The sequence below is a fragment of the Homo sapiens genome, chromosome 1, assembly GCF_000001405.40.
Source record: "Homo sapiens chromosome 1, GRCh38.p14 Primary Assembly".
In the NCBI taxonomy this organism is placed as follows: domain Eukaryota; kingdom Metazoa; phylum Chordata; class Mammalia; order Primates; family Hominidae; genus Homo; species Homo sapiens.
The window spans coordinates 8389955-8417210 of NC_000001.11; the positions used below are offsets into that span (position 1 = coordinate 8389955).

The 27256-nt window shown below is 42.2% G+C and overlaps 1 protein-coding gene across 3 annotated transcripts in view, besides 1 other annotated feature; it reads right to left on the reverse strand.

Annotated features, from left to right (window-relative positions):
- The window catches only part of RERE (arginine-glutamic acid dipeptide repeats), a 465237-nt gene that overhangs the window by 37551 nt on the left and 400430 nt on the right, over nucleotides 1-27256 (reverse strand). The gene's annotated exons all lie outside the window — the stretch shown is intronic.
- Nucleotides 5775-5974: an enhancer, noted in NCBI's record as "active region_102". NCBI's record gives its function as "activates an Ori minimal core promoter by ATAC-STARR-seq in GM12878 lymphoblastoid cells {active_cell/tissue: GM12878}" and the evidence as "EXISTENCE:reporter gene assay evidence [ECO:0000049][PMID:35858748]".

Consider the following 27256-nt stretch of genomic DNA (forward strand, 5'->3'; position numbering starts at 1 on the left):
CCTGTCAAGACACAAAGCCAAACTAGACTGAATTTCTCTGGCAGGAGTGAAAATACATCACGGGTTAAGAACAAGAGTAGTTAGACAGTGAGGATGTTAACATAAGGAGGTGGGCATGTACCAGAAAAAGGAAAACCAATACCAGACACCTAAAATCCAAGACCTAGAAACAGTCATCCTGTGACCTGAAGCAGAGCCATGTGCCACAACCAACCACGCCACATCTGAACCCAGAGGCATCCTGTGACACATCTGACAAGAACGACGGCATACAGAAGAGCAGAGACCCCACTCCAGACAGCTACACTCATGTACAGAGAGGCCTTTGGCACATCTTCTGGCCAGTCGTCACCCCACCCCAGGTAGGGAAGCTGCTTATTTGGAGAGTGGAAAAAACAAACCTGGCATGCATGGTTCAGCGCCCTGGTAGTTTTGGGAGCTAGCTGCTCTTTTTGATCCTCTTCTCCAGGGTAGGCTCTTCCCCTGCCCACTAATCTATGTCCCATAGTCCGAACTGTATCAATAACTATAGGTAATATTTTGAACCCATCTCTCTTTCTTCAGAACTTGGGGAAGGAAGAAGGGGCACTAATTTATCAGCCTCATTCAGAGACCCAAACAAATAGTGAAGACAGAGCCCCAGAAACCTAAGTCCAAAATTCTCCCAACTAATTCCTTTCTATCTAGTAAATATTTTAAAACTATTTTTAAAAAATCATATTTATCCAGTTAAAAACTATGTACATTTTGAATCCATTCTTCCATAAAACAAACATACATCTCAAAACCAGCTATACAAGAGGGAACTCCTGATCTTCACTTCTCCCTCCTAAACTTACCTCCCCATCTTAACAAGCAGCACTTCCCCTACCCAGTGGCTCTGTGCCAGCGGGGGGTCCTCCCTGACGCTGTCCTCTCTGATTTGCCACTTCTGATTCAACACCAAATCTCACCAATCCTGCCTTCCAAAATATTATCTCAAAAAAACAAAACAAAACAAAAAAAACTTTACTTCTCTCTGCCTCAACTGCCACCACCCTCATCCAATCTCGGGGTCACCTTCCATGATCACACTGACTCCTACCTGGCGCTCAGTTTCCACTCCCCTTGACCTACTACAACCCAAATTCCACACTGTGTCTTAAAAATAACAAAATAAACAGGAAAACTGATGTTACTTCCCTGTTTGAGATTCCTTATCAACTTGTCACATTCTCAGCACAAAACTCTAGCAAGGTGTTCAACAGCATGGACTTTAAAGCCAGACTGCCTGAGAGTAAATCCCAGCTATGGTATTTCCAAGTTGTACATACTTGGGTAAGTTACACAGCCTCCTATCTATGTGGTCAATGAACCGATGTATGTAAAGCACTGAGAACAGTGCCTGGCACCTGAGAGGCCCTCAGGACATCCTATTACTGCCATGGAGCACACAAGGTCCCCATGACCTGACCTCTCCCCATCACTGTTACTTCACCCCTCTCCATTCTCCTTTTTGCTCCACACACTCCAGCTACACTTACTTTTTCAGCTTCCCCTGAGTTCCAAGCCTATCCTTCTCCAGGGCCTCTGTACAGGCTGATCCCTTGGCCTGGGGGGCTCTTCTGATTCTATCCTTCCCTCCTCATCTCTGGGGTCATAACTGAAATATCTTCAGATATTCCTTTCTTAAGTTAGGTCCCCCTGTTATGATTTCTCATAATACTCAGCAGATTTCCATTATTGCACTTATGAGAATTTATAATTATATATCTAATTATTCACCTAATCTGTCTTCTTCATAGAATTAAAATTCTAGAGGCCGGGCATGGTGGCTCACGCCTGTAATTCCAGCACTTTGGAAGGCCGAGACAGGTGGATCGCCTGAGGTCAGGAGTCCTACACCAGCCTGGCCAACCCTGTCTCTACTAAATAATATAAAAATTGGCTGGGCATGGTAGCAGGTGCCTGTGATACCAGCTACTCGGGAGGATGAGGCATGAGAATCGTTTGAACTTGGGAGGCAGAGGCTGCAGTGAGCCAAGATCGCGCTATTGCACTCCAGCCTGGACAGCAGAGTGAGACTCTGCCTCAGAAAAAATAAATAAATAAAATTCTAGAAACCAGGGAACATGTCTTTTGTTTATTGCTGCATTTCTCACAACTCACACAATGTTCAGCATTCTACAGATCTTCAGTAAATATCTGTAAGATGAATGAGTATAAAGAAATCTAATAACAACTTGACTTACCTTGTAAAGAAATAACCTAAAAAGCCATGTACATGCTCAAGAGGTTTCAGGTTAATGACTCATTCTTGAGACCAAAAAATGTCACAGAGGGCATTTGTAAGAAATAGAAATAAACAAAATACACAATTGAAAAAATAAAAAAAGGTGAATCTAACAAAATCCTTTTTTAAAAAAATCCTTTTATGCTTATATTTTTACCTAACCTGGAAAATGAATATCTCTATCTATATATCTCTCTGTCTATCCATCTATCTATCTAGATAAAAACAAACTTAGCCAAAACTTTTTCCTCTCCCCTGGGTCTCATTCTTCATTCCTAGCTTTCTAAAAATTCAGCAAAGACAAAACATTTGCCTTTTCCTATCAACCATAAACACCCACTTTGAACACAGCCAGTATCTACCCCCACCCCTCCATCTAGGAGCTTTAATTATGGCCCTGAAGTACGCATAACTCACACTAGCAGTAGAGTCCATCTATGAGGGACGTGGAGGCCCTCAAGAGATATGGTCAGCATCTGTTACGCCAGCACACCAGAGCAAACATCTGCTGCAAGGTTGTGCTGAAAACATTTCTATCAAGTGGGCCATCCTGTCTGGAAGATTACCAGCCCTGGAGGGATGTTTGCGAGCAAAGTTTCAGCTCTTCGTGAAGCAGCCCTCTGACCAAAGCAAGCGATACAGAGTGCTGCAGAGAACACGATGTGCATTCTCTGGGGGCATTTTCAAGGGTTTCCATTTCATAGAAAATGAAAGGATTCTAAACCATGTAGAGACGGTGGAAAATATAGTTGGATACTACCCAATGAAGATGTGCACCAAAATACCATGATGAAGTTTATCCTGAAAGTAGGAGAAGGAGAATGTGGTGGGCTTACTCATGAGAAGGAATAGCAAGGTGCTCAGATTGGACTTCTGCAGGGATTCGTCCCCAAGTTCCCAAAGACTCAACCTACCAAGAAGGAGGCTACTTTGCCAGAAACTGTCCTACACTTTATAGTACTTGATCTTACCTTTCCAGATGTTTCTGTGAATTTTTTAGTCTAGTGCACCATCAGTTCACCAACTGCTCTAGGAAGATCCAAATACAACAGTTCTTATTTCCGCCTCCATCAAGGGTAATAAATGCCAAGTAAGATGCAGTATCCTATTTAGCGTGGCCTGTGTGACTGGGGGCCCAAAGCCAGGAACCATAGCATCCACATCATCTGGGCCTTTCTGATTGGACCGTAGCATGACAAAGAGCAGTGGCTTAGGGGACCCTCCTTTCTCTTGCTGACTCAATCTAAACTGCTCTGGGTGAGCACTCCCCCTTTCCAAGTCCTGTTTAATTCTACTCATAAAATGGGGTTGGTTTTCTAACAGCTCAAGGTGTTTTAAGAATAATACACAGTGTTCATAAAGCATAATGGGCATCTCCCAACAAATGGACCCAAGCGCAGGCAAGGTCCATTTCTGGTTATTTCTGTTATCAATATTATTTGAAAAGCATAGGTAAGATAAAATAGCAACCCTCAACTCTGATGCATCCAGAACTGGGCAACTACATAATACAGAGACAATTTACATGAATGAAAGTTTAATGGCATCAAATCAACTATGGATTACTAGTATCCAGGTAAAAGTAAAAACTATATAGAGTTGAAAATGTTGCTAAGAAAATATATTAACATATAAAAATACCTTTTAAAACTTCCTTCATTTTTTGTTTATAATTTGAAGGGCAATTAGAAGCTTCAGATGATAGGAGCTCAAGGCCCACGATTTTGCCATGAAGGCTGGCCACCTCCAATCTCCACCTGGGGACTTAAAACACTGCAAAATCCTATACACCATAACCCAAGAAAAATCCCTGATTTCTCCACTAAGGGCTCCTGAGACCAGAAAGACAAGATGAAGGATGGTGACCTATACTTTGGGAAAACCAAATTAGCTGCCATTTCTTGACATTCTATAATCCCAACTTTCAATTTCTAATGCAGGTGGCTCTAACTGCACAGGTAGGACAGAGCTGAAATCCAATGTAAACAGACACAATTCATCTTGCACACAACACTATACAGAGCTTTCCCCATTATTAAAAAGCTTCACCAAAATCTTGATTGGAAGTATGCTAAACATACTGCCCACAATTCCAAATTAAACAATTTTGAGAAATATTTCTTGCTTTTCAGATTCTCAAAATATTTGAAGTTCGACAACTACATACAGGCAAGATCATTCTGACCATCAACTACTCAATTAATTCTCACTACTGTCCTGGGAAGCAGATAATATTATCACCATTTTATAGATGAGAAAACTAAAGCACAGAGAGATGAAATAATTTGTCCAAGGACAGCGGGAGTGGAAAAGGAATTCACACACATTTCCGTTTTCCAGTAATTTAACTTAAGAAAGGAGCTACTGCAGAGAACAAACTTATCAGTCATGGAATCCCACATCACTCAGTGCTGGAGAGGGGGAATGAGCAACAAAAAAGTGACAAATCATAAGGTCTGAGTCCCAACTCTCAGCCAGAGTCACCCAATTGCTTCAGAAGACTGTTACCCCAAGGAAATAAGAAAAAAATACGTTAACTTGCTCTGTAAACCATAAAATCCACTACTAGTATATATATATATTATATCTCCATGAAGCACTTACCACAGTTACACTTGGTTTTTGTTTGCATTTCTTAGCAGGTGATTAATACTTTAAGGGGAGAGAAACTGTATTACTCATTTTTATATCCTCAGCATCTATCTAAAATGTCTTTCCCATAGAAACTCAAACGTCTGTTGAGTGGTTGAGTGAGTAAATAAATGTAAATAAAATAAAAAAGAAAACATATTTTAAGGGCCAAACAGCCCAAAGGCATTCCATGAGGGAAGTTTGTTACTAAACTTTCAGATAAGGTGTCTAGTATTTCCTGTAATAAGATATTGTATATTCCCCTTCTCCTGCCCACAGAATAAATCAAGTACAAAGAAACTAAAAATAATAATACCAAAGAATGAGCAATTTCCGGGTCGGGTGCAGTGGCTCATGCTTGTAATCTGAGCACTTTGGGAAGCCGAGGCGGGTGGATCACAAGGTCAGGAGTTCAAGACCGGCCTCGCCAATATGGTGAAACCCCATCTCTACTAAAAATATAAAAAATTAGCCGGGCGTGGTGGCACACGCCTGTAGTCCCAGCTACTCGGGAGGCTGAGGCAGGAGAATAGCTTGAACCCGGGAGGCAGAGGTTGCAGTGAGCTGAGATCACGCCACTACACTCCAGCCTGAGCAACAGAGTGAGGCTCTGTCTCAAAAAAAAAAAAAAAAGAATGAACAATTTCCTCTTTGGTCTTGTCTGCATAAAAAAGGAACCTCTCCTGCTCAGCTATGCAGGCACCTGGAGACATTTGAAGCTGGAGGTAGGAAAAAAAAAAGGTGAAGGTGAGCTTGACCTAGAAGGGCAACTGTGAACAAGGTGCTTTGAGGAAGCAATGTCAAACCTGTGTGGACCTTTTTGTAAACAGGTTAATTTCCTAAATTCTTTTGTGGGAATATAAGACATCCGTGTTTCTAAAACGGGAGAGGAGAGGAAACAAAAACCAAAACCAAAACCACCACCATGCACTGAAGGCCTGCAGTGGGGGCACAGGAGGAAGTATGAGAGGTTCCATGCCTGAGTTGTGATGTTTGCAGAGAATTAGCCAGTGAGAGTGCCCAAGGAACACGGGAGCACAAATCTGAGAAGGAACACTCGAACGAGGACCAATTCTATTATTATTATTCTGCTCTGTAAGGCATAGGTGACACCACCCCTCTCTCTGTGCTTAAAGGACAGCCATTCCATTAACTACCCACCTTGAATGGATTCCAGAGAAAGACTTTGTTCCCCAAGAAATATTAGCAAAAGCCTTCAAGCCAGGGCTAAGAGCCTTAGTGACAAGTGAGAAGGCACAGAACAACTGAGCAGAGATCATCTCTTGAAAACCTATGCTAATTATCCTGTTTCTACCATCAGGAAAGTGGGAGGGGGGAAGGGCTGCTGTGCTATCACTTGGGGTCCATTCTGGGGTCAAATTTGAATCCCAGCTTCTAGAGCTGAATTCAATGTGGAGTTTGTTGTCCATGCCAAAATTCAAAGGCTGATCAAGTTGAAGAACGTGACATGGACATAATGTGAAGTACATGAAAACTCACATACAAAGTACCTGCCCTCCTGGAACCAGTCCCCAGTTATCACAGAGCCGAGAGGAAACCAGTCCCCTATTATCAAATCCTCTTACTCTTGACTAGAGTGATGGAATTTGGGAAGAATGCAGCAGACTTCTAAAGACTGCTCAGCTACAAGCAGGATCTTCATCTCCTTTTCAGCTGTGGATAACAACGGAAGCAGTCAGCCGTCTAATAAATCAAGTTTAATTTTAACAGCATGAAGTATTGCCCGCTTTGTAATTATACTTCCAAAGGTAAAACCCAACTCGAATTAACTTAAAAAAATTGTTATTGAGGTAAAATTCACATAACATAAAATTAATCATTTTAAAGTTTACAATTCAGAGGCAGTTAATACATCTACAATGCGTGCAGCCCTCAGATCTAATTCCAAAACGCTTTCATCATCCCCCAAAGGAGACCCCTCCCCCTCATTAAGCAGTCAAAGTGAACTTTTTCCACAATGGCATTCTTTGTGATATATCATGCTTTCTCCACAGTATCAGTTTATTCACTTTCAACAGCATCTTTGCATTTTAAAGGTAAGGGAAAACTCAAAGGACCATGAGAACTAACACTCACAAATGTGCTTTCCAGTCTACCACGTGACTGTATACACATCTGGTGAGACAGTTATCTCAGGCAAAATGTACTGTGTGTCTTCCCTGGGAGGAGAAACAGGAGCTGATTCTAATGGAATGTTTACTATGTGACAGATACTGAGTCAGAAACAGCACAGCAGCTAAGACTGGGTGCTCTGCAACCACACTGCCCAAGTTCCAGTTCCAATTCAGTGTGAACTCTGTGTTCTTTGGGCAAGTCATCATAATCTCTCTGCCTCCTTTCTCTTCACACGTATTGTGATGGCAACACCACCACTTGCCTCATGGAGATGCTATGAAGGTTAAGTAAGTTCAAGTGCTTAGAACAGTGCCTAGTGCATAATAAGAGCTCAATCACTGCTGCCTTATTCGACTTTCACTACGACTCTGAGGGAGGTTCTATTTGTGCCCCCATTTCATTACTGAGGAACTTAAATTTTACAGCATCTAAGAGACTTACCCCAAACCCCCAGAGAATAAGTGGGATAGCTGGGATTTGAACTCAATTCTGAGTTCTGTTGGCTTAGCAACCATTCTGTAAAATGTACCAAGGAACAAAACCTTTCTGATCCCAGTTACCAAACTCATGTTGAGCAAAATCACACTCACACAGGAAAAAAAAAAAAAAACACATGAAACTGTCACCAAAATGGCAATAACCCAACTGTGCTACAGTTTTATTTCCTGCTGGCTTCTCAGTTCTCTAAGCCTTGAGGATCCACGCGCCTTAGACCATTATTACCTCCTCCCCCATATGCAGTAAGTTCCTGACTCTTCTGATCTTTCCTGTTCTTACTGGGCACCATCCCCCAAGACCTTCTGCTATTTGTACTTTCTGATTTCAGGCTCTTTATTCTCTGATACACACTGTTGCCAGAATAATCTTCAAAAAGATTGACTGCAACTTTCAACTTTAATTCAATCATACAAATATTTCTTGAGCATCTAGGTGCAAGGCACCATGATGAAGATAATGTGAGTAAGACAGTCCTTGCCTTCAGGAGCTCAATCCAAAAAGGGAGGTGTAAGATAGAATTTCATAAGACAATGCAGAGCCAGAGAAAGGCCCTAAGAGAGGCATGATGTTCTACAGGGGTATTCAAAGGACAGAGTTATATCCTCCTCAGATTAGAGAAAGATTAATGAAGGAAATTAAGTTTAAAAATGTAGAGCATTTCCACATGGAGTAACAGAAGGGCAGGCATTCTGGGCAGAACACTGCAGGAAGAAATGGCAGACAGGAAGCCTGAGTGTTTGGCAAGGGCCAGAGGTGCAGAAAGAAAAGCAGTAGGGAAGGGGCTTGGAGAAGCTGATTTGGACCACAGTATAAAAGGTCTTGACTCTCAGGCAAGGGGGTTAGTACTGAGTGTGGCTGATGAAATCTCCATAGCTTTGCTCTCCTGTGTGCTTTGCTCAGGGTTGGTTCTCACCATCTCCCCATCACTCAAGGCCTAGTTCAAGTCTCAGCTTCTTCCTGACGTGTGTCTTGACCGCCCCAGTGTAAAATAAGATCCTCTTCTATTAACAACGACCATCTCTACAATTTATTTGGCAATTAATCACGTAGTGCTTCTAACATCTGTTATCAGTCTTAAATGATTTTTCCTTTTTCTTATTATTTATCATGCGTATTTATGTTTTGACTCCCCAGTGAAGTATTCACTGAACTCTAGTGTGGGGGAGGAGTCTTCCCCAACTCTGGAAGATCACCAGAAAATACGCAGCCTAAAAACAGATTTTGTCAGGTGACTCTGATGACCAGTTGGGTATGCAATCCACTACACCCATGGAATCTGGCACAGGGCCTTGCTATACATCGAAAAATTTGCTATTTTTACAGGTATCTGTGATTTTCACTTCATATCTCAACAACAAACAGGTGCATCAATGTGCGCGGCCACTAGGAGTACATGAGAGTACCTGCTTTTCAACAACCTCACTTCTACTTAGAACTGATAAACTTTTTTGTAAATATAACGGGTGTGAAGTAATATGTGTATTTTAATTTGCATTTCCCTGTTAGTGAGGCTGCAAAACTTTGCAGACTTTTCAGATTTTCTCAGCTAAAACTACCTGTTCTCATCTTTCACCCATTTTTCTATTGAACTGCTTGTGTCTATTATAGATTTCTACAAGTTCTTCATGCATTCTAGATACTAATCCAGTTATGTTATAAATATCTTCTCTCAGTCTGTCACTTTTTTCTCACTTTATGGTTTCCTATAAAACACAGACTTTTTAAGTCTTAATATAGATAAATATATTATCATTTACTTTTTGAGTTGTACTTTTTGTACTATTTCTTATAAACCCTTCCCTACTCAGGGAACATTAAAATGTTCTATTTTCTTACAGTTTTAAAGTCTTGTTTTTCCTGGCTTTAACTTATCTGAAAGTTACAATCTTATTTTATTTTGTTCCCATATGCCAGCTAAGCCCATTGGTCCCAAACCATTTACTGAATAATTGGTTAGTTCCCCACGGATATCACATAGTTCTGCCCCCATTACACTGACGTCTCTATTTTGCATCAATACCACCAGGTCTTAATTACTCTAACTTTACAAGTCTTATCTCATTTGTATAAAGCCTATCTTCCTTGTTTCTTACTCAATTTTCTTGCTATTCTTGGACCTTTATTCTACCACACAAATCAGTCTGCTGGTTCCACAAAAAAATCCTGTTAAAGTTTTGATTGAAATGATATAGCAATGAGAGAGTAAGGGGATCTTTATAATGCAGAGTACTTTTTCCATTAACATCGGCGCATCATCTCTCCATTTATCTACGTCTTTTTTTTAGGTCTTTTAATATTTTATTATGTCTTTTTTTAAAAAAAAAAATAAAGAATTTGCATATCATTTGTTGTACTTACTGCTAGGAATCTTATAAACTATAAGTTTCTGTAGCCACTGTGAACAGCATTTTTTTTTTTAAGAGACAGAGTCTCACTATGTCATTCAGGTGGGACTCCAACTCCTGGGCCTAAGTGATCTTCCTGCCTCAGTCTCCTGAGTAGCTGCAACTACAAGGTCATCCCACTGCACCCGGCTCAGTATTTTTAATATATTACATTTTCTACTTTGTTGGTGGTGGTCCATAGGAATACTACCAATTTTTTAAAAATCTTTAAACTGTAAAATTTTTCTATATTTTCATTTGCTCCACTAATTAAGTGTCTACATTTTTAATATAAATATATCACCTACAAATCAGTTTTGTCTCTTCCTTTCCATTCCTGTGTCATATGTGTGTGTGTGTGTGTGTGTGTGTGTGTGTGTACATATATATTATAGTTTGACAAAGTCATGCTCTGTTACCCAGACTGGAGTGCAGAGGTATGATCATAGCTCACTATAACTTGAACCCCTGGGCTCAAGCAATCCTCCCACCTCAGCCTCCCAAGTAGTGGGACTACAGGCGCATGCCACCATGGCCGGCTAATATTTTTATTTTTTGTAGAAATGAGGTCTTTCTATGTTACCCAGGTTGGTCTTGAAATTTTGGCCTCAAGTGATCCTCCCTCTTTGGCCTCCCAAAGCACTGAGATTATAGGAGTGAGTCACCTCACCTGGCCATATATTTATATACTTTTCTATAAACACACATATATAGGGTCTTTGTCCAATTGTGTCATATAGAAATCTGAGTGAAGAGTCTAATATTAGTGATGACAGTAGGCAACCTTATTTTGCTCTTTATTTTCAGTGAAGGACTGACAGTTTCACCATTAAATATGATGCATAGGGGCTACATGAGTAGCTCACGCCTAAAGTCCCAGAACTTTGGGAGGCTGAGGCAAGAGGATCACTTGAGTCCAGGAGTTAAAGACCACCCTGGGTAACATGGTGAAACACCATCTCAAAAAAAAAAAAAAAAAAAAAAACCCAAAAATTATCCAGGCGTGATGGCGTGCACCTGTAGTCCCAACTACTCAGAAGACTGAAGCGGGAGCATCACTGGAGCCCAGGAGGTTGAGGCTGCAGTGAGCCATGACTGCACCACTGCACTCCAGCCTGGGTGACACAGTGAGACTCTGTCTCAAAAAAAAAAAAAAAAAAACCATATATATATATATATATATATATATATATATATGTCACTTAATAGTTTTTGGGAGTTATTCTTTTTTGCATTAAGCACATGTCCTGTCATTCCTAGTCTTCTATAAGTCATCGTTACAAAGAACACTGCATTTCACCCACTGAATTTTATGCAACTATGAAAACAAATGCACTTGTTTCTCAGTGAGTTATATTACGTAGCAAACTGCATTTTCAAAGACGGCCAAGACAGTATCTCCCACCTCACATAATCTTTAATGTGACCTTGTAACTCCCCATCAAAAGATGGGGTCTTCCAGAGCCCAAGGTGGGAGAATCGCTTGAACCCGGGAGGTGGAGTTTGCAGTGAGCCGAGATCCTGCCACTGCACGCCAGCCTGCGCAACAGAGTGAGAACCTGTCACTAAATAAATAAATAAACAAATAAATATCGGGTCTATAACTGGGTGCAGTGGCTCATGCCTATAATCCCAGCACTTTGGGAGGTTGAGACAAGAGGATCACTTGAACCCAGAAATTCGAGGCCAGCCTGGGCAACAGAGAGAGCCCTCATTTCTACAAAAAATAAAAATATTAGCCAGGCATGGCATCATGCACCTGCAGTCCCAGCTACTCGGGAGGCTGAGGTGGGAGGACTGCTTAAGCCTGGGAGGTCGAGGCTGCAGTGAGCCGTGATGTACCACTGCACTCCAGCCTAAACGACATCTAAACCCTATCCAAAAAGAAAAAAAAAAAGCCTACTTTCCCTTCCCTTGAATGTGAATTGGACTTAGTGACTGCTTTGTAAACAATACAACACAGTGTAAGTGATGCTGTGTAAATTTATTTTATTTTATTTTATTTTTTTGAGACAGAGTCTTGCTCTGTCGCCAGGCTGGAGTGCAGTGGCATGATCTCGGCTCACTGCAACCTCCACCTCAACCTTCAGGTTCAAGTGATTCTTCTGCCTCAGCCTCCCGAGTAGCTGGGGCTACAGGCGTGCGCCACCACACAGCAAATTTTTGTACTTTTAGTAGAGACGAGGTTTCACCATGTTGGCCAGGATGGTCTCAATCTCTTGACCTCGTGATCCACCTGCCTCGACCTCCCAAAGTGCTGGGATTACAGGAGTGAGCCGCTGCGCCCGGCCAACGCTGTGTAACTTCTAAGGCTAGGTCAGAAATGGCCACAGAACGCAGCCAACCATCATGCTGTGGGAAGCCCAAGCCAAATGCAGTGGCCAAGTATAGGTACGCCAGGTTTCCATCCCAGTCGAGCTCAGCCTCAGAGTCACCATCACAGCCAGGTGGCAGAAATGTGAGTAAAGAAGATCACAGCTGTTTATGTCACACACAGCCATTTGTGTCTTCCCAGCTGAGGCCCCAGAAATCACGGCACAAAGATAAGACACCCTTACTGCCCCATTCAAAATTCCTGAACCATGGAATCCATAAACAGAACAAAAAGGTTGGATGGGTTGATATGGTATGTCATGCAACGGTGGACAGCTGGAACACAAGACTAGAGTCTCTCATGGTAACTATCTTTGCATTCCCGGGATAACTCCTACTTGCTCACCATGTAGTACTTTTTATACATTGCTGGGTTCAGTTCGGTAATATTCCACTTAAGACGTTTATGTTTTGCTTGGTGAAGGGAGAGATTGGCCTACAAAAAATGTTTCCTTCTTAGATCGTATTTATATGGTTTTGAGATCAAGGTTAAACTTAGCCTTTTAAAAAAAGTTGTGAAGCTTGCCTTCTTTTCCTAGCCTCTGAGAAATAGCTTAAAGATTTGTTAATTAAATATCAGGTATATTCACCTGTAAAACTGCCTGGGGGGCGCTGGTGCTGGGAAAGGGGTATTCAAACCAATGATCCAGTTTCTTTCGCTTTTTTTTGAGATGGAGTCTCGCTCTGTTTCCCAGGCTGGAGTGCAGTGGCGCGATCTCAGCTCACTGCAACCTCTGCCTCCCGGGTTCAAGTGATTCTTCTGCCTCAGCCTCCCTGGTAGCTGGGACTACAGGCGCGCACCACCACACCCAGCTAATTTTTGTATTTTTAGTAGAGACGGGGTTTCACCATGTTGGCCTGGCTGGTTGCAAATTCCTGACCCCGTGATCTGCCCATCTCGGCCTCCCAAAGTGCTGGGATTACAGGCATGAGCCACCGCGCCCGGCCAATGATCCAGTCTCTTTAATAATTATTAGCATATTTGGAATCTCTATTCTTGAGTCAATTTTAAGAATTTTGTTGTCTCTTTTGAAATTTCCTATCATAAAACTTTTCACAGTAGCCCTTACATGTGTGGGTTTGTGTATTTAAAATTCTCTCCTGCACTGGCTCTTTGTTTCTAATACTGTTTACTTGTCCTTCTTTTTTACAAGATCAGCCTTGCTGTATTATATTCATATTTTCTTTTTTTTTTTTTTTCCTGCTTCTCGGGTTCAAGTGATTCTCCTGTCTCAGCCTCCTGAATAGCTGGGATTATAGGCGCCCACCACCACACCCAGCTAATTTTTGTATTTTTAGTAGAGGCAGGGTTTCACCATGCTGGCCAGGCTAGTCTCAAACTCCTGACCTCAAGTGATCCTCTGGCCTTGGCCTCCCAAAGTGCTGGGATTACGAGCGTGAGCCACAGCCCCCAGCCTATATTGCTATTTTCACATAATCAGCTTTTGATTTAATGTGGATCATCTCATTTTTTCCTCCCATTTCATTAATATCTGCTATTACCTTTATGTTTCCTTGTTAAAAATTGCTTTCTTTTGTGGTTATTCTTTTTCTATTTTTCTTAATAAAATCTTAGCTTTTTTTTTTTTTTTTTTTTTTTGAGATGGGAGTCTCACTCTGTCACCAGGCTGGAGTGCAGTGGTGCCATCTCGGCTCACTGCAACCTCCATCTCGCGGGTTTAAGTGATTCTCCTGCCTTAGCCACCTGAGTAGCTGGGATTACAGGCACGCGTCACCACGTCCAGCTAATTTTCGTATTTTTAGTAGAGACGGGGTTTCACCATGTTGGCCAGGATGGTCTCCATCTCTTGACTTCGTGATCCGCCCGCCTCGGCCTCCCAGTGTGCTGGGATTATAGGCCTGAGCCGCTGCACCCAGCTTTTTTTTAAAAAAAATAGAGGCCGGGTGCGGTGGCTCACGCTTGTAATCCCAGCACTTTCAGAGGCTGAGGTGGGTGAATCACAAGGTCAGGAGATTGAGACCACGGTGAAACCCCGTCTCTATTAAAAATATAAAAAATTAGCCAGGCGTGGTGGCGGGCGCCTGTAGTCCCAGGTACTCGGAGAGGCTGAGGCAGGAGAATGGCATGAACCCAGGAGGCGGAGCTTGCAGTGAGCCGAGATCGCACCACTACACTCCTGCCTCGGCGACATAGTGAGACTCTGTCTCAAAAAAAAAACAAACAAACAAAAAAAAGAGATGGAGTCTCACTATGTTCAGACTGGTCTCAAACTCCTGGCCTCAAATGATCCTCTTGCCTCAGCCTCCCAAAGTGCTGAGACTACAGGTTCGTGAGCCTGGCCAAAATCTTAGCTTTTAAATTTCAAATCACCCTACGTTTTTAAAAGCAGAGTGTCCCACAGATTCTAATCTGAGATTACTCTCCCACAGTAATTGTTGACTAAACTACTTCCTGATTAACAGTGAGACAGAGAAGAAGAGTCCTTGGGCAATCAAAAACCATAGTAAAATCACAGCAGGGTCGACAACCCATACAGCTCCTTACAAGGGTGGGCTAGGTGGCAGCAGACTGGTGCCAACCGTGTCAGGGCGAGGTGGAAGGCTGCTCTGGGTGAGGTGATATGGAGGACCCAGAGCACAGTCCTGAAAGCTTGGCTCCTCACCCCACCCTCCTTGAGAATGACAATTAGCCCTAGACAGTCACCAAAATATTGCCAAAGCTGGAGAGATGAAGCCCCTGGTCCCTGTGCCACTTCTCTGACTCTGGATAAACCAACTGACTATATGTCGGTTTTCTGAGTTTGCTTTTTGGGGCGTGGGGGAGGGTGAGGGAGTGGCAGAGGTGTTGTTTGAAGTATCATAAAGTTTTCGAAGAAAAAGGAGACTGCAGGCTAAGTTAAAACACTGAAAGAATAGTAAGTGATGGTCAAGAGTGAGAAGGGAGCATGGCTCTGCTGGTAGCGGTATGCCAATATAATCTCTCAGGAGGATGCAAGGCACTGGCTACCAAAGGCCTTAAAAATGCACACACTACTTGAAATAAATATTTCTAGGAATGAATCTTAAGGAAATAACTGCCCCCAGATAAGACAAAGTCACTCATTAAGAAATTTTTTTGCAGCAGTAACCACCCCCGAAAAATACCCCAGAAACTGAAAATAAATGATCAAAACTAGAAGTTGGTTAATAACATGATATCTTTTAAAAATGCAACCATCAAAAATGACTCCATAGATACATGCGTTAAGCAAAAGATCAATACAGATAAGTTTTAAATAGTCATAAAATAAAAATAAAATTAAAAATTAGGTTATAGAACTGAATGAGGCCATTTCTGTTTAAAATATTTATTGATATATGCCTAGAAACAGTCGGAAGAATATGGGCCAAAACGTTAATTAGTGGCCATCTCTTAGTGATGGAATTACTGATTTTTCTTTTTATTTTCGAGACGGAGTCTCACTCTGTTGCCAGGCTGGAGTGCAGTGGTGCGATCTCGGCTCACTGCAACCTCCAACTTCCTGGTTCAAGCGATTCTCCTGCCTCATTTTCCTGAGTAGCTGGGACTACATGCACACGCCACCACGCCCAGCTAATTTTTGTATTTTTAGTAGAGAGAGTTTCACCATGTTGGCCAGGATGGTCTTGATCTCCTGACCTCATGATCTACCCGCCTCAGCCTCCCAAAGTGCTGGGATTACAGGTGTGAGCCACCGCAGCCGGCCTGATTTTAATTTTCTACTGTAAATTTTTCTGTGTTTTCAAGGGGGAAAAAAATTACTAAAAACAGACCCCTTCCCTTTCCCCCTAACAACTACAAAGCCAAACTTAAATGTACTATGATTTTTAACTGCAGCAGTAGGATTCTGAGTGAGTCAATCCACCAGATTAATATTTTTTTAAATCGAGACAGGGTCTCACTCTGTTTCCCAGGCTGGAGCGCAGTGGTGTGATCCCGGATCACTACGGCCTCAACCTCCTGGGTTCAAATGACTACAGGTGTGTGGCACTACACCTGGCTAATTTTTTTATTTTTATTTTTTTGTAGAGACAGGGTCTCACGATGTTGCCCAGACTGGTCTCGAACTCCTGGGCTCAACCGATCCTCCCTCCTTGGCCTCCAGAAGTGCTAAGATTATAGGCATGATGCTGTCCCCAGTCAGATTAATATTTTCAAGAGAAGAAAGCAGTAATGCAACTTTTTTACTTTTTAAGGTGCATTTTTAGGAATAAAGGGGCAACAGGTCCGCAACTTACTCTCAAATGGTTCATGTGGGGGGAAAACCACACACGCACACACACAAAAGGAGGGTTAAATAATGTGATAAGATGTTAATATTTGGAGAATCTGGGTAAAGAATATATGGGAATGCTTTATACTCTTCTTGCAAATTCTTTAAGTTTGAAATTATTTTAAACCAAATGGTTTTTTAAAAAATTATGCATAGAATAACCCAAACTTTCTGAAAGTCAAGGGTTACACACAAAATAAATTTGTGTGTATCTGTATGTGTTTTTGGGAGAGGGAGAATAGTTCAGAATAATTAGAACACGTTGAGAATTTAGAATTCTCTTCCATTTAGTCCAGTGAGGATCTTAAAAAACCTAAGAAGTACTACGTACATATATAATTTTAGACCGCATTTTCAGCCCAGGCAAGAGTCAGAGCTCATACAACTTTGTGGAGGGTGAAAAGAACCCTGCCACAAATGTGCTACAGAGCCCGCATCATCTCCACAACAAAACACCCGACACCCGAGGTTCAAAAATCTACTTCATCAAAGATCAAGAATAACTCTGGTTAGAACTGTTAAATCAGTGGAAAGTTAATGAACATGGAGGATGAAGTCCAGAAAGTGCTGTCTGCAGTGTTTGGGGCAGGCATTCGCATTAGGAAACCCTCTGTGGTACAGGCTCTCTCAGTGGCCAACTATTTGGTGATCTGCACATTTTTAGCATAGAACCTTGAAATGATACAGCTGTGCTGGTCATTACGGAATTCTCTTTTTGTGTGACAGAATTGTGACAGGCTCCCAGGACCTAAACCCAGAAGGAAGCAGGACCATATTGCTGCCTAGAGAAGGGGATGGAGCAGATTCCAGGACACCGATGAAACAGAAGCTTCCATCACAGTGCTTTCTGCTACCTTATGAGACAGTTCGCATCTCAACAGCTCTAGGATACAAAGGAAGCACATACATTTATACTTTATAAGGTGGCCAAGGAATCCTACTGTGAACAAAGAATGTCTAAGATAATAAAATTCCACTTTTTTTTTCTATAAAAAGCAAATCTTGTCCCAGATGCAAGCACTTGCAACAGAAGCTCTGTGGGGGAAGCCTACCTCTCAAGGCCCTAGTTCTTGGCTCATCCCCACCCCATGACCTGGACAAGACCTGTGAGGGTGCCATTTTTAGTATCACCGTGCCTCAGTTTCTCCACCTGTGCATGTGGAATGATACTGGCAGCCCCCGTAGACTTATGGGGATGACTGCTGAGCTGATGTCTATAAAATGTTCTTAATGGCAAGGGCGAAAGAGCTATAAATACAAGGTCAAAGCAGCATTTAAAACCTTTTTAAAGCTGCAGCCACTTCTTTCTTTTGAAACAGAGAACCACAGGGAGGATCAAAGGCGTGCTGCTGTTAACTGCGGCTCTCAAGGCCTTGCCCTCCACCTGGCAGAAACCCTAGAGAGGTCTACCATGATTTTTACCTTGACTAACAAAATCTCAAGACAAGTTGTACAATGGTTTCCTGGAACATTCTGAGTAAAGAAATGGGAAACCAATACAGCTTACCTAGCTTGTTACCTTCTATGAACGCTGGCATTAAAAGTAAAAGGCAGCCTTGGGAGGAAGAAATGCAAACACAGAGGGAGAACATAGCTTCCCCTTGTCTCTCTCTGCCACAAAAGCCTGGCCAAAGTGACTCTACTAGGTTGAAGCAGCCTGCATAATAAAACGCTTAACCTTGGCTAAGTTAACCTCCTCAGCCATTAAAAAAAGGGAGGGTGGGGGAAGGGCTAGCAAAATCAAGCTTACGGGAAATAAACCTAATCAAAGCCGAGTAGTAACAAAGGGCACCAGAAACATTTCTACTGTATCACATCCCACAGGCTGGCCAAGAGCCCGGAATTTTCATTACAACTTTCAAAGAGAGCAAGAGGAGGAGGGAAAAAGATTTCACAAAAGCATTATCAAGGCCCCAACCCAGGATGCCCTGCTGTACAACCAAAATTTGTAAGAGGTCAGCCTTTCAGGGAGTCAAAAACCCAGCATGTGGAAACTGGCAGGCCTTTTATATAGTGGGAGGGGTTCTTAAAACGACTACTGTTTCGCACTGAAGTCTCTGAGCTTCACAGATCATTAAAGGTTTCTGAACCACAGAGAAAGGAGGGCAGAGTTAAGGAAATAAATCAAAAGTTCCTCTGGGACGCACAAATGCCTACTTGGAACAGGCTTTCAGCATGAATATCCTCCACATTAAACAACAGGGAGGACTTTTCAAAATAAAAGCAGAAAAGAGATTCATTTTGTTACAAGCAATGCACTTTTTCCTTTTGGTGTAAAGGTTATGTGTGCTATAAAAAATGACTCCTGCCGTGAGTGCTGCGGGGAGGTGGAGGCTGGGCTTGGGGCAGGAGGTGGTGGTGGTCAAAGAAAACAAGTAGAAGTGAATACAACGCCTGAGAATGCTGTGTTTGGGGGTCCCCCAAACAAGTCTAAATGTCCCGCAATGATTTGGGGGTAGGATGTGAGGTAGGAGAATGGTATCAGAAAGGAATTTCTTCTACATTTATTCCTTGCCATCCTTGCCCAAGAACTGAAATCATTTCCCCACAGCCAGAAAGAACTGTCTTCTTTGTGGGTGTGCAACACACACAGTTGCAGATCTGGGGAAAAGAGACTGTGCCGTTTTGAAGGCAGAGCCTCACACTTCTTAAGGAAATATCAGTTGTCTCAAAACCAGCAGAGGGAGTACAACGTTTGAGAAGAGGAATGGCCAACCCGATTGCTGAGGATTCATGTTTAGCCCCGACAATGGTTGTAAAGCTGAGCTATCTACCATAACTTCTGCCCTTGCTCTCCTGTCACCCAGCAATAGTAAACAGAAAGAAAAGCTATACTACCTACTCAGATGGAATTAGCTTGTTCTAACAACCGCATGAGGCAGCAGAGAGAAAAGGAGAACTGTCCACACTTCTGTCGGGACACAGTTCCTGTGAGCAGCACTGTTTTGGGGAGAGGAATAGAAGCAGGGGGAAGGCTCAATGAAAAGCAGAAAGTCCAATTTGGACTGACAGCAAATCCCAAAGCAATGATTTTACCTTAAAATCCAGGGCTCCTAGGCCAGTCTGTGAACAGCTCATTTCCAGAATTTTTGTTTATGAGAGGGCAAAATGGAGAACTCTGTCTTTCAAGCTTTTCTTTCAACAGATGATTTGAAACAAAAGCAGCACACTCATGAAGGCGTATGTCTGCTAAATGGTTGCTATCTTAATCTTTAGCCACAGTTTATCAAAACATGTAGGAATGGGTTGAGAAATTAACTGGTGCTAAGATTATCAGCATGGACAAGTTCCTGGGGAGGGCCTGGCGACATGATCAAAGCTAATGGTCCCTCTCCCAGGAGCAAAGAGCCTACTATTTCATGCATGATGATGTTGGGCTCTGGCACTGGAAATCTTTGCTCAGGTCCATTCTAAGTGTCGAAATGGTGTAATTAATGGTTAGCCTGGGTATGCACTATTCAATCAGGCAATTTTTTTTTTTTTTTTTTTTTTTTTTTTACTAAATCCGAACATTAATGCTTTCTCATTGTGGGAAATGAGAGCTGGGATAAAGACATGCTCAACTCAACAGAACAAACACAACCTATATGTGACTTTATGTTAGTCTAGGAACTGTGCACTGATGCACACCCAGGAGGCACTAAGTTAACACACATGCATGCATACCTGCCTGCCTGCTGGGTAAGGAGGGCTGGGCAGGGGAGGGGGGCCGCCCTGGCTGGGGGACACGGCTGGGGCCATTGTTGCCACTTTCTCCTCTTTGTAGACATCAATTTTTACAAAGGGCCGAATGATAAAGGTCCACAAGACCTCACCCAGAACGGCTGTTGCAGGAAGCAGAGGCCTGAGCAGCCTATAGCCAGAAGCCCAGGCAGGGGGTGTGCCAACTACACAGGCCCACATGAAGAGCCTCCATGAGGAAGACGTTATGGCAAGAATCCTCTAAGTCTCCAAGGGACGAGATCAGAACAATGTATGGAAGGTGAAGTGATACAGATTTCAGCTTAATAAAAGGAAGGCGGCCCGAAAAATGGAACTGTTCAAAACCACAATGGCTTCATTTAATGGGTTCGATGTCCCCAGTCTGCAGGAATGCTGTAGAAGATTCAGGTAGTGAGAAATACCTCAACAGACAAGAAAGCTACTTCAAGGACTTCCTTCGGCAAGGCCTTTCAAACAAGTTTTAACATTGAAAACACCCATCCTTCAAAGAGCTTGAAGCCCCAAGTGTCCATCTTCCAGGATGCACAAGACTCCCCAAGCCTTCATCCTCCCATTACTATTTAATATCCACACTACATTGTTCGGCACTTGGTTTCCCTCCAGTATGCACCGTGGCAGCCAGTAAGACACCCCCAGGGAGCACAACCGCAGCTCACTATTTTTCTCCCCATGCTCAATAAGTTCAGTAAGTGCTTGATGATTGACTAGCATCAGGAATAAACTAGGAGCATTTTACATTCACACTATCTAGTTAAACATTCCAAATGACAGATTTCCAGAAAAATGTTGCAACAAATGTAAGTATTTATAGACATGCCTGGTAAGGTATGTAGCATTTGGAGAAATAATAACTAGAACAGAGTACTGTACAAAAGAAAATGGTACACTTTTGTATGAGTCTAAGATATATTGGACAAATGGGTATTCCTATTGGTAAACATGGACATCTTAATAAAAATACAAAATTACTACATAAAGAAGCATTACATCCTTCAACTCATCTGGTGGCCATAAAATGGAGAGAGGCACATGGACTTTTCTCCTGAGTCACCTGATAGATTTACAAGATCAAAAGAAATAAGGGCTTCAAGTCTTTTTTTTTTTTTTTTTAAAGAGATGGGGTCTTGCTAGCTTGCTCGGGCTGAACTAAAGATATCCTCCTGCCTCAGCCTCCCAGGTAGTTGGAACTATAGTAGGAGTATCTACCCTGCCCTGCTAGAACTTCAAGTTTTGATGGGCAAATCCACCCCAGAGGACAGGACAAATGCCAGTATTCTGGTTAATAGCCCCAGATGAGCCAGCTTCCCACCCATCTCCCGTAAGGTGGCAGACACATAAGGGAAGCCACCTTGGACCTTTCAGGTCAACCCATCTACCAGGTGATACTACAGAGTGAGCTTTGGATACATGACATGGAAACAAATGGCCAGCTGAGTCCCACCTAAATTCCTGATCTACAAAATTATTAAAACTATAATATTTATAGTTTTAAGCCAGTAAATTACATATACTAAAAGGTTTTGGTTTTTAGAAATTTATTTAAAAGTTTTAGGGTTTTTCTTTTTAGGCTCACATTATCCAAAACGTGTAGTTTGCCCCCAGTTCACTGGCTCTGTGCTTTACTTTGCGAAACTAGCCATCTATACAGATTCATCGGGCCTATTTCCTTTAGAACTTAATCCTATTGTTCCACAAATTACAGATTCTCGCCAAATGAAAACACCTCCCTCGACAACTTAAGGCCACAAACCTCTGACATAATTCAATGTGTGTCATTAGCACATTTCCAAAACAGAGCACTTGTGGGAAGAAGAACCAAGTTCTGATCTTAGAAGCCCTGTGCCTAAGTCAATAACCACCAAATCCCAAAGGTGCTGGACAGATGCTGCTCCGGCCCCGAAAATAATCAAACACACAAAAGTTACTATTAATATTTCTTGCCAAACAACAATCAAAAAAATCCAACTCCTGCACATGGGAACAAAGCGACAATGGCAGCAGCTGCAAATACATAAGCGAAGCATCACTGAAGAAAGTCTCCAGCTTAATATTGCTCCCGACACCCTCTGTGGTGGTTCACTCATACAGCAAAGACACGGGATAAAAAATTCCACAGACTGTTTTCAAGATAATAAAATGGCATATGATGATGACTCACTAACAGACTAAAAGGAAAAAATATCCGTCAACAGTCATAGGAAGCTTACAAAGCTGCAGAGATCTGGCACCACTAAAGCTCCTCCACCTCCCCTGGCTCTCACCTCCAGTACACACATGTATGTGGGACATACAAAGTGTGTGTGTTCATGTGCACACCCTTTAGGGATTAATTTGAAGCCAAGTTGCAATTGGCTAATGGCTTACTCTACTGCTTAAGACAGTATTTTATTCTTGACTGGCTCAATAAACCTGCTGAGAAAAATAAACAATGGATTTCAATCTTATAAATAATCTAGAACACAGAACCGCTGCGCAAACAGGAGAGTTGATTTACTGCGCACAATAAACAGAACAGGAAGGACCAGTGTGGCAGAGTGAACCCCAAGTCCTAGTCCCATTGTCCTGGGACAGTAGAGTTCACAGGGGTTTTCTGTCTATTACACAAAGTCTAAGGCCTGGGATATCCAGGTTTCAAACTGGTCTTAAAAAGAGCATTTCAAAGCAGATCAGGTGGAGAAGCTTTGGTGGTGCCAGATCTCCGAAGCTTTGTAAGCTTCCTATGACTGTTGATGGATTTTTTTTTCCTTTGGTCTGTTAGATTTTGCTCACACTGAAGAGCAAAAGATGAGGAAAATGTTCGTTTAAAAACAATGAAGAGTTTTCACGTCTTAGGACCATTAATTATCTACCCATGATTACAATGTATTTCGAACCTATTATTTATACATGCGTGAACACACACACACATACTTCATTTTAAGCAAATAAAAAGTAAGGGCTGTTACAGGACTCTAAGGGTGCCATAAAGAGGTATTAAAATGAGGTCCCTGCCCAGAAGGCTTTATATTCTATATAAATACATATATGCATTCATGCACACATGTGTGCAGAGTAAAAATGCATGGAAAAGAGGAATCAGAGTCAAGTCCAAGAATAAAATAAAATAAATTTTAATTTTGTTTTTTGTTGTTGTTGTTGTTTTTGAGACTACTCTGTTGCCCAGGCTGGAGCATAGCAGCGTGATCTTGGCTCACTGCAGCCTCGACCTCCTGGGCTCAAGTGATCCTCCCACCTCAGCCTCCCGAGTAGCTGTAACTACAGGTGCGTGTCACCATACCCAGCTAATTTTTTGTATTTTTTGTAGAGATGGGGTTTCACCATGTTGCCTAGGCTAGACTTGAACTCCTGGGCTCAAGTGATCCTCCCACCTCAACCTCCCAAAGTGCTGGGATTACAGACATGAGCCACTGTACCTGCCCAATCTTAATTTGAAGAGGGTGGAACAAAACCCAACTCTGCTGAGATGAAATGGGCCCTTTGTGTAACAGCAACCAGCCTGGGGAGGAGCAGAGGCAGCCCCAGCAAGACCGTTAGAAATGAGGGAACTTTAGCAGGGCACCATGGCTCATGCCTGTGATCCCAGCACTTTGGGAGGCCAAGGTGGGTGTATCATCTGAGGTCGGGAGTTCAAGACCAGCCTGGCCAACACAGTGAAACCTCATCTCTACTAAAAATACAAAATTAGCCAGGCATGGTGGCGCATGCCTATAATCCCAGCCATTCGGGAGGAAGAGGGAGGAGAATTGCTTGAACCCGGGAGACGGAGGCTGTGGTGAGCTGAGATTGTGCCATTGCACTCCAGCCTGGGCAACAAGAGTGAAACTCCATCTCAAAAAAAAAAAAAAAAAAGAAATGAGGGGACTCAGATACCTTTCAGAGAAGACCCCTGGCCCACCTGGCCCCTTCACTAGGGGCCATGAAGGTAAGCACCCTTATTCACCTCAGACATCCCATCCTAGACAGCACAGGCCTGGGGTTACCAAAAGCTCCCCCAAAATCCCAACTTTGTCAACTGGGATAGTTTAGATATTTCAATAGTCGGCCGGGCGTGGTGGCTCACACCTGTAATCCCAGCACTTTGGGAGGCAGAGGCGGGCGAATCATGAGGTCAAGAGATCAAGAGCATGCTGGCCAACATGGTGAAACCCCATCTCTACTAAAACTCTACTAAAAATACAAAACTCAGCTGGGCATGGTGGCGCATGCCTGTAGTCCTAGCTACTTGGGAGGCTGAGGCAGGAGAATCACTTGAACCCGGGAGGTGGAGGTTGCGGTGAGCTGAGATCGCGCCACTGCACTCCAGCCTGGGCAACAGAGGGAGATTCCGTCTCTAAATAAATAAATAACATTTCAATAGTCAAATCCTGGGGATTATGATACCACAATTGAGAGGATTCAGAAGAAGGATTTAAGACACTTGAGCAGAACAAAGAATTATATTTCCAAAGTGGGGGGGTCGGTGGGGGGAAGAAACATGGGCCATTAATACTGAAACTTAATTAAAAAATTCAACATCTCGGAAAACTTAGCTTAATGGAATTCTGGTATCCCAAAGGAAGGTTGCTCCTGTTTGCTTTTCCTATTTACCTAACACAATTAATGGTTTTCAAATTATACATGACAGGAAAAAAAAAATCTTACTGGGAGTAGGGGGATGCCTTTCCCATGCTGAGCAGCTGGGACTGAGACTGAGGTTAATGCTTTGCTTTACTTTTCAAAACAATACTATTAATTTTTACTCTATTTTCCTAAGTATTACTCAAGGGTATAGTTTCAAATAAGATTAAAAATGAACTAGTTATTCAAGGATTATAATTTCAGATACATTTTGAAACTTAGTTTTAATGTCGGTTTCCTAACAGACTAGATAGATATATTTTTAAAATATCAGCAAACTAGTTTTCAAAGTCAGAATAGATCTTACAAGGCTAAAAAAGAATCTATGATATAAAATATAAGCTCCAAGTGGATAAATCCATTGACTGTTAACCACAGCAACCACAACTTGTAAGTCTTTCTAAAGACCAATTCAAACCTTCCATTTGTTTTACTAGCTAATAAAATGGTGCAGACTATTTAGGCTTCAAAGTCATAAATGTCTCCATCTAAAAGTCATCCAGGTAACCAAGACACAGCCAAATCATAAGAAATATAGGTTAGCAAATACCAACAGCAAATAAATCCCTGCAAGCAACATTTTGTTCAATAACACTTTAAAAGCCCCAAGCATACTTCATTTGAGTGCAGTTTCTATAAGTAATACATTTCAAATAATTAAAGCATTCTCATGCCATCCCCACTAGTTTTCATATGTAGGATAACGCCAAGGTCAGGCTGTTTACACTGAGAACGGCAACTGTCCAAGGCCCTTGGTTTAAAAAGTCACCCAATTTTTTAATACCTCCTTTTCTTTCCAACACCAGCACCAAAAGTCTCTTACGTACTTCACTTACACAAGGGAATATCAGCCAGTCTCTCATAGATTACCCTCACGAAAACTGGACCACTGCCCAGGCAAATATCCCTATAGTTCAGACTATCACAATTAATAGATTCGAGCCTCGGCTCCATTTTAATGGGAACAAACTCTCAGCACAGGAATAGCTATAGGATCACAGTACTTACTGCCAAAATGCAGTGCCTGTTTCTACTGGCAATCACTTTGGCCTCAAATGGAAAATTCCAACTGTTTATATCTATGTGAGCACAAATTATTAAGAAAAACAGTATGGCACATAAATGTCTTTCCTCTTACCCATCTTGCCAGCCCCTCAAATAACTTATATTTCTTTTTCATACATAAGGAATGCCAATAAAAGAAAGCAATGCCCGAAAACACTGTGGTATTAAACCTTTATGACTATGTAAACTTCAGTTAACAAGAGAAGGCCATCCTTCCACATAAAAAGGCTTATTAAAAACTGAAATAGAATCTGGCAAGGTCTAACTAGACTGCATGCCACAAGGTAAAGAGAACAAGAGCTTTTGTATCAAGTAAGACAGGAGTTACAATCATGTTTCTAGAAAAACATGGGAGTGGGAATTGAGAAGAAAACTATATTGAGAAGTCCTGGCTCACGGTCAGGCGCGGTGGCTCACACCTGTAATCCCAGCACTTTGGGAGGCCAAGGCGGGCGGATCACAAGGTCAGGAGATCGAGACCATCCTGGTTAACATGGTGAAAACCCCGTCTCTACTAAAAACACAAAAAATTAGCCAGGCGTGGTGGCGGGCGCCTGTAGTCCCAGCTACTCGGGAGGCTGAGGCAGGAGAATGGCGTGAACCTGGGAGGCGGAGCTTGCAGTGAGCCGAGACTGCATAACTGCACTCCAGCCTGGGCGACAGAGCGAGACTCCATCTCCAAAAAAAAAAAAAAAAGAAAAGAAAAGAAAAGAAAAGAAATCCTATTATTGACAATGGAAATAAGCCCTGATACTTTTCTGTTTGAAATATTTTGCAATAATTAGAAAAACAAAATCAAGCCCTAATAGTGAAACTTTACAATTTTAACAGAATAAAGACAGTATCATTTTAAGAATGATATACTATGCAGGCTCAGAATTCTGCAAGTCTGCATTACTGTAAATAGCGGTGCTTCCTAAACTTTACAGTACTTTGGAATCCTCTGGGGGGTCCGTTAAAATGCAGATTCTGGCTCAAGAGACAAGGACAGGGCCTGAGAATCTTCCATTTTAACCAGTGATGAGAGTGCTGGCCTGAGGAGCACACTGTGAGCAGTGAGGATAGACAACGTTTGTAGAAGAGGGACAAGGTTTAAAAACAGAGATCTTCTAATGTACTGGTATGTGGCCGTGACACATTTGCACATTCTCAGTAGCATCAACCGACTAAGGAAGTCCATACTTTGTTATGCAACATTAGATTAAGCATTAATGAGGCTAGGAAAATTGTTTATTTAAGGTTATAACCTGAAATTAAATAAAACTTCAGGCTGGAAGCTCATATTGAATACTAGAATCATTTTT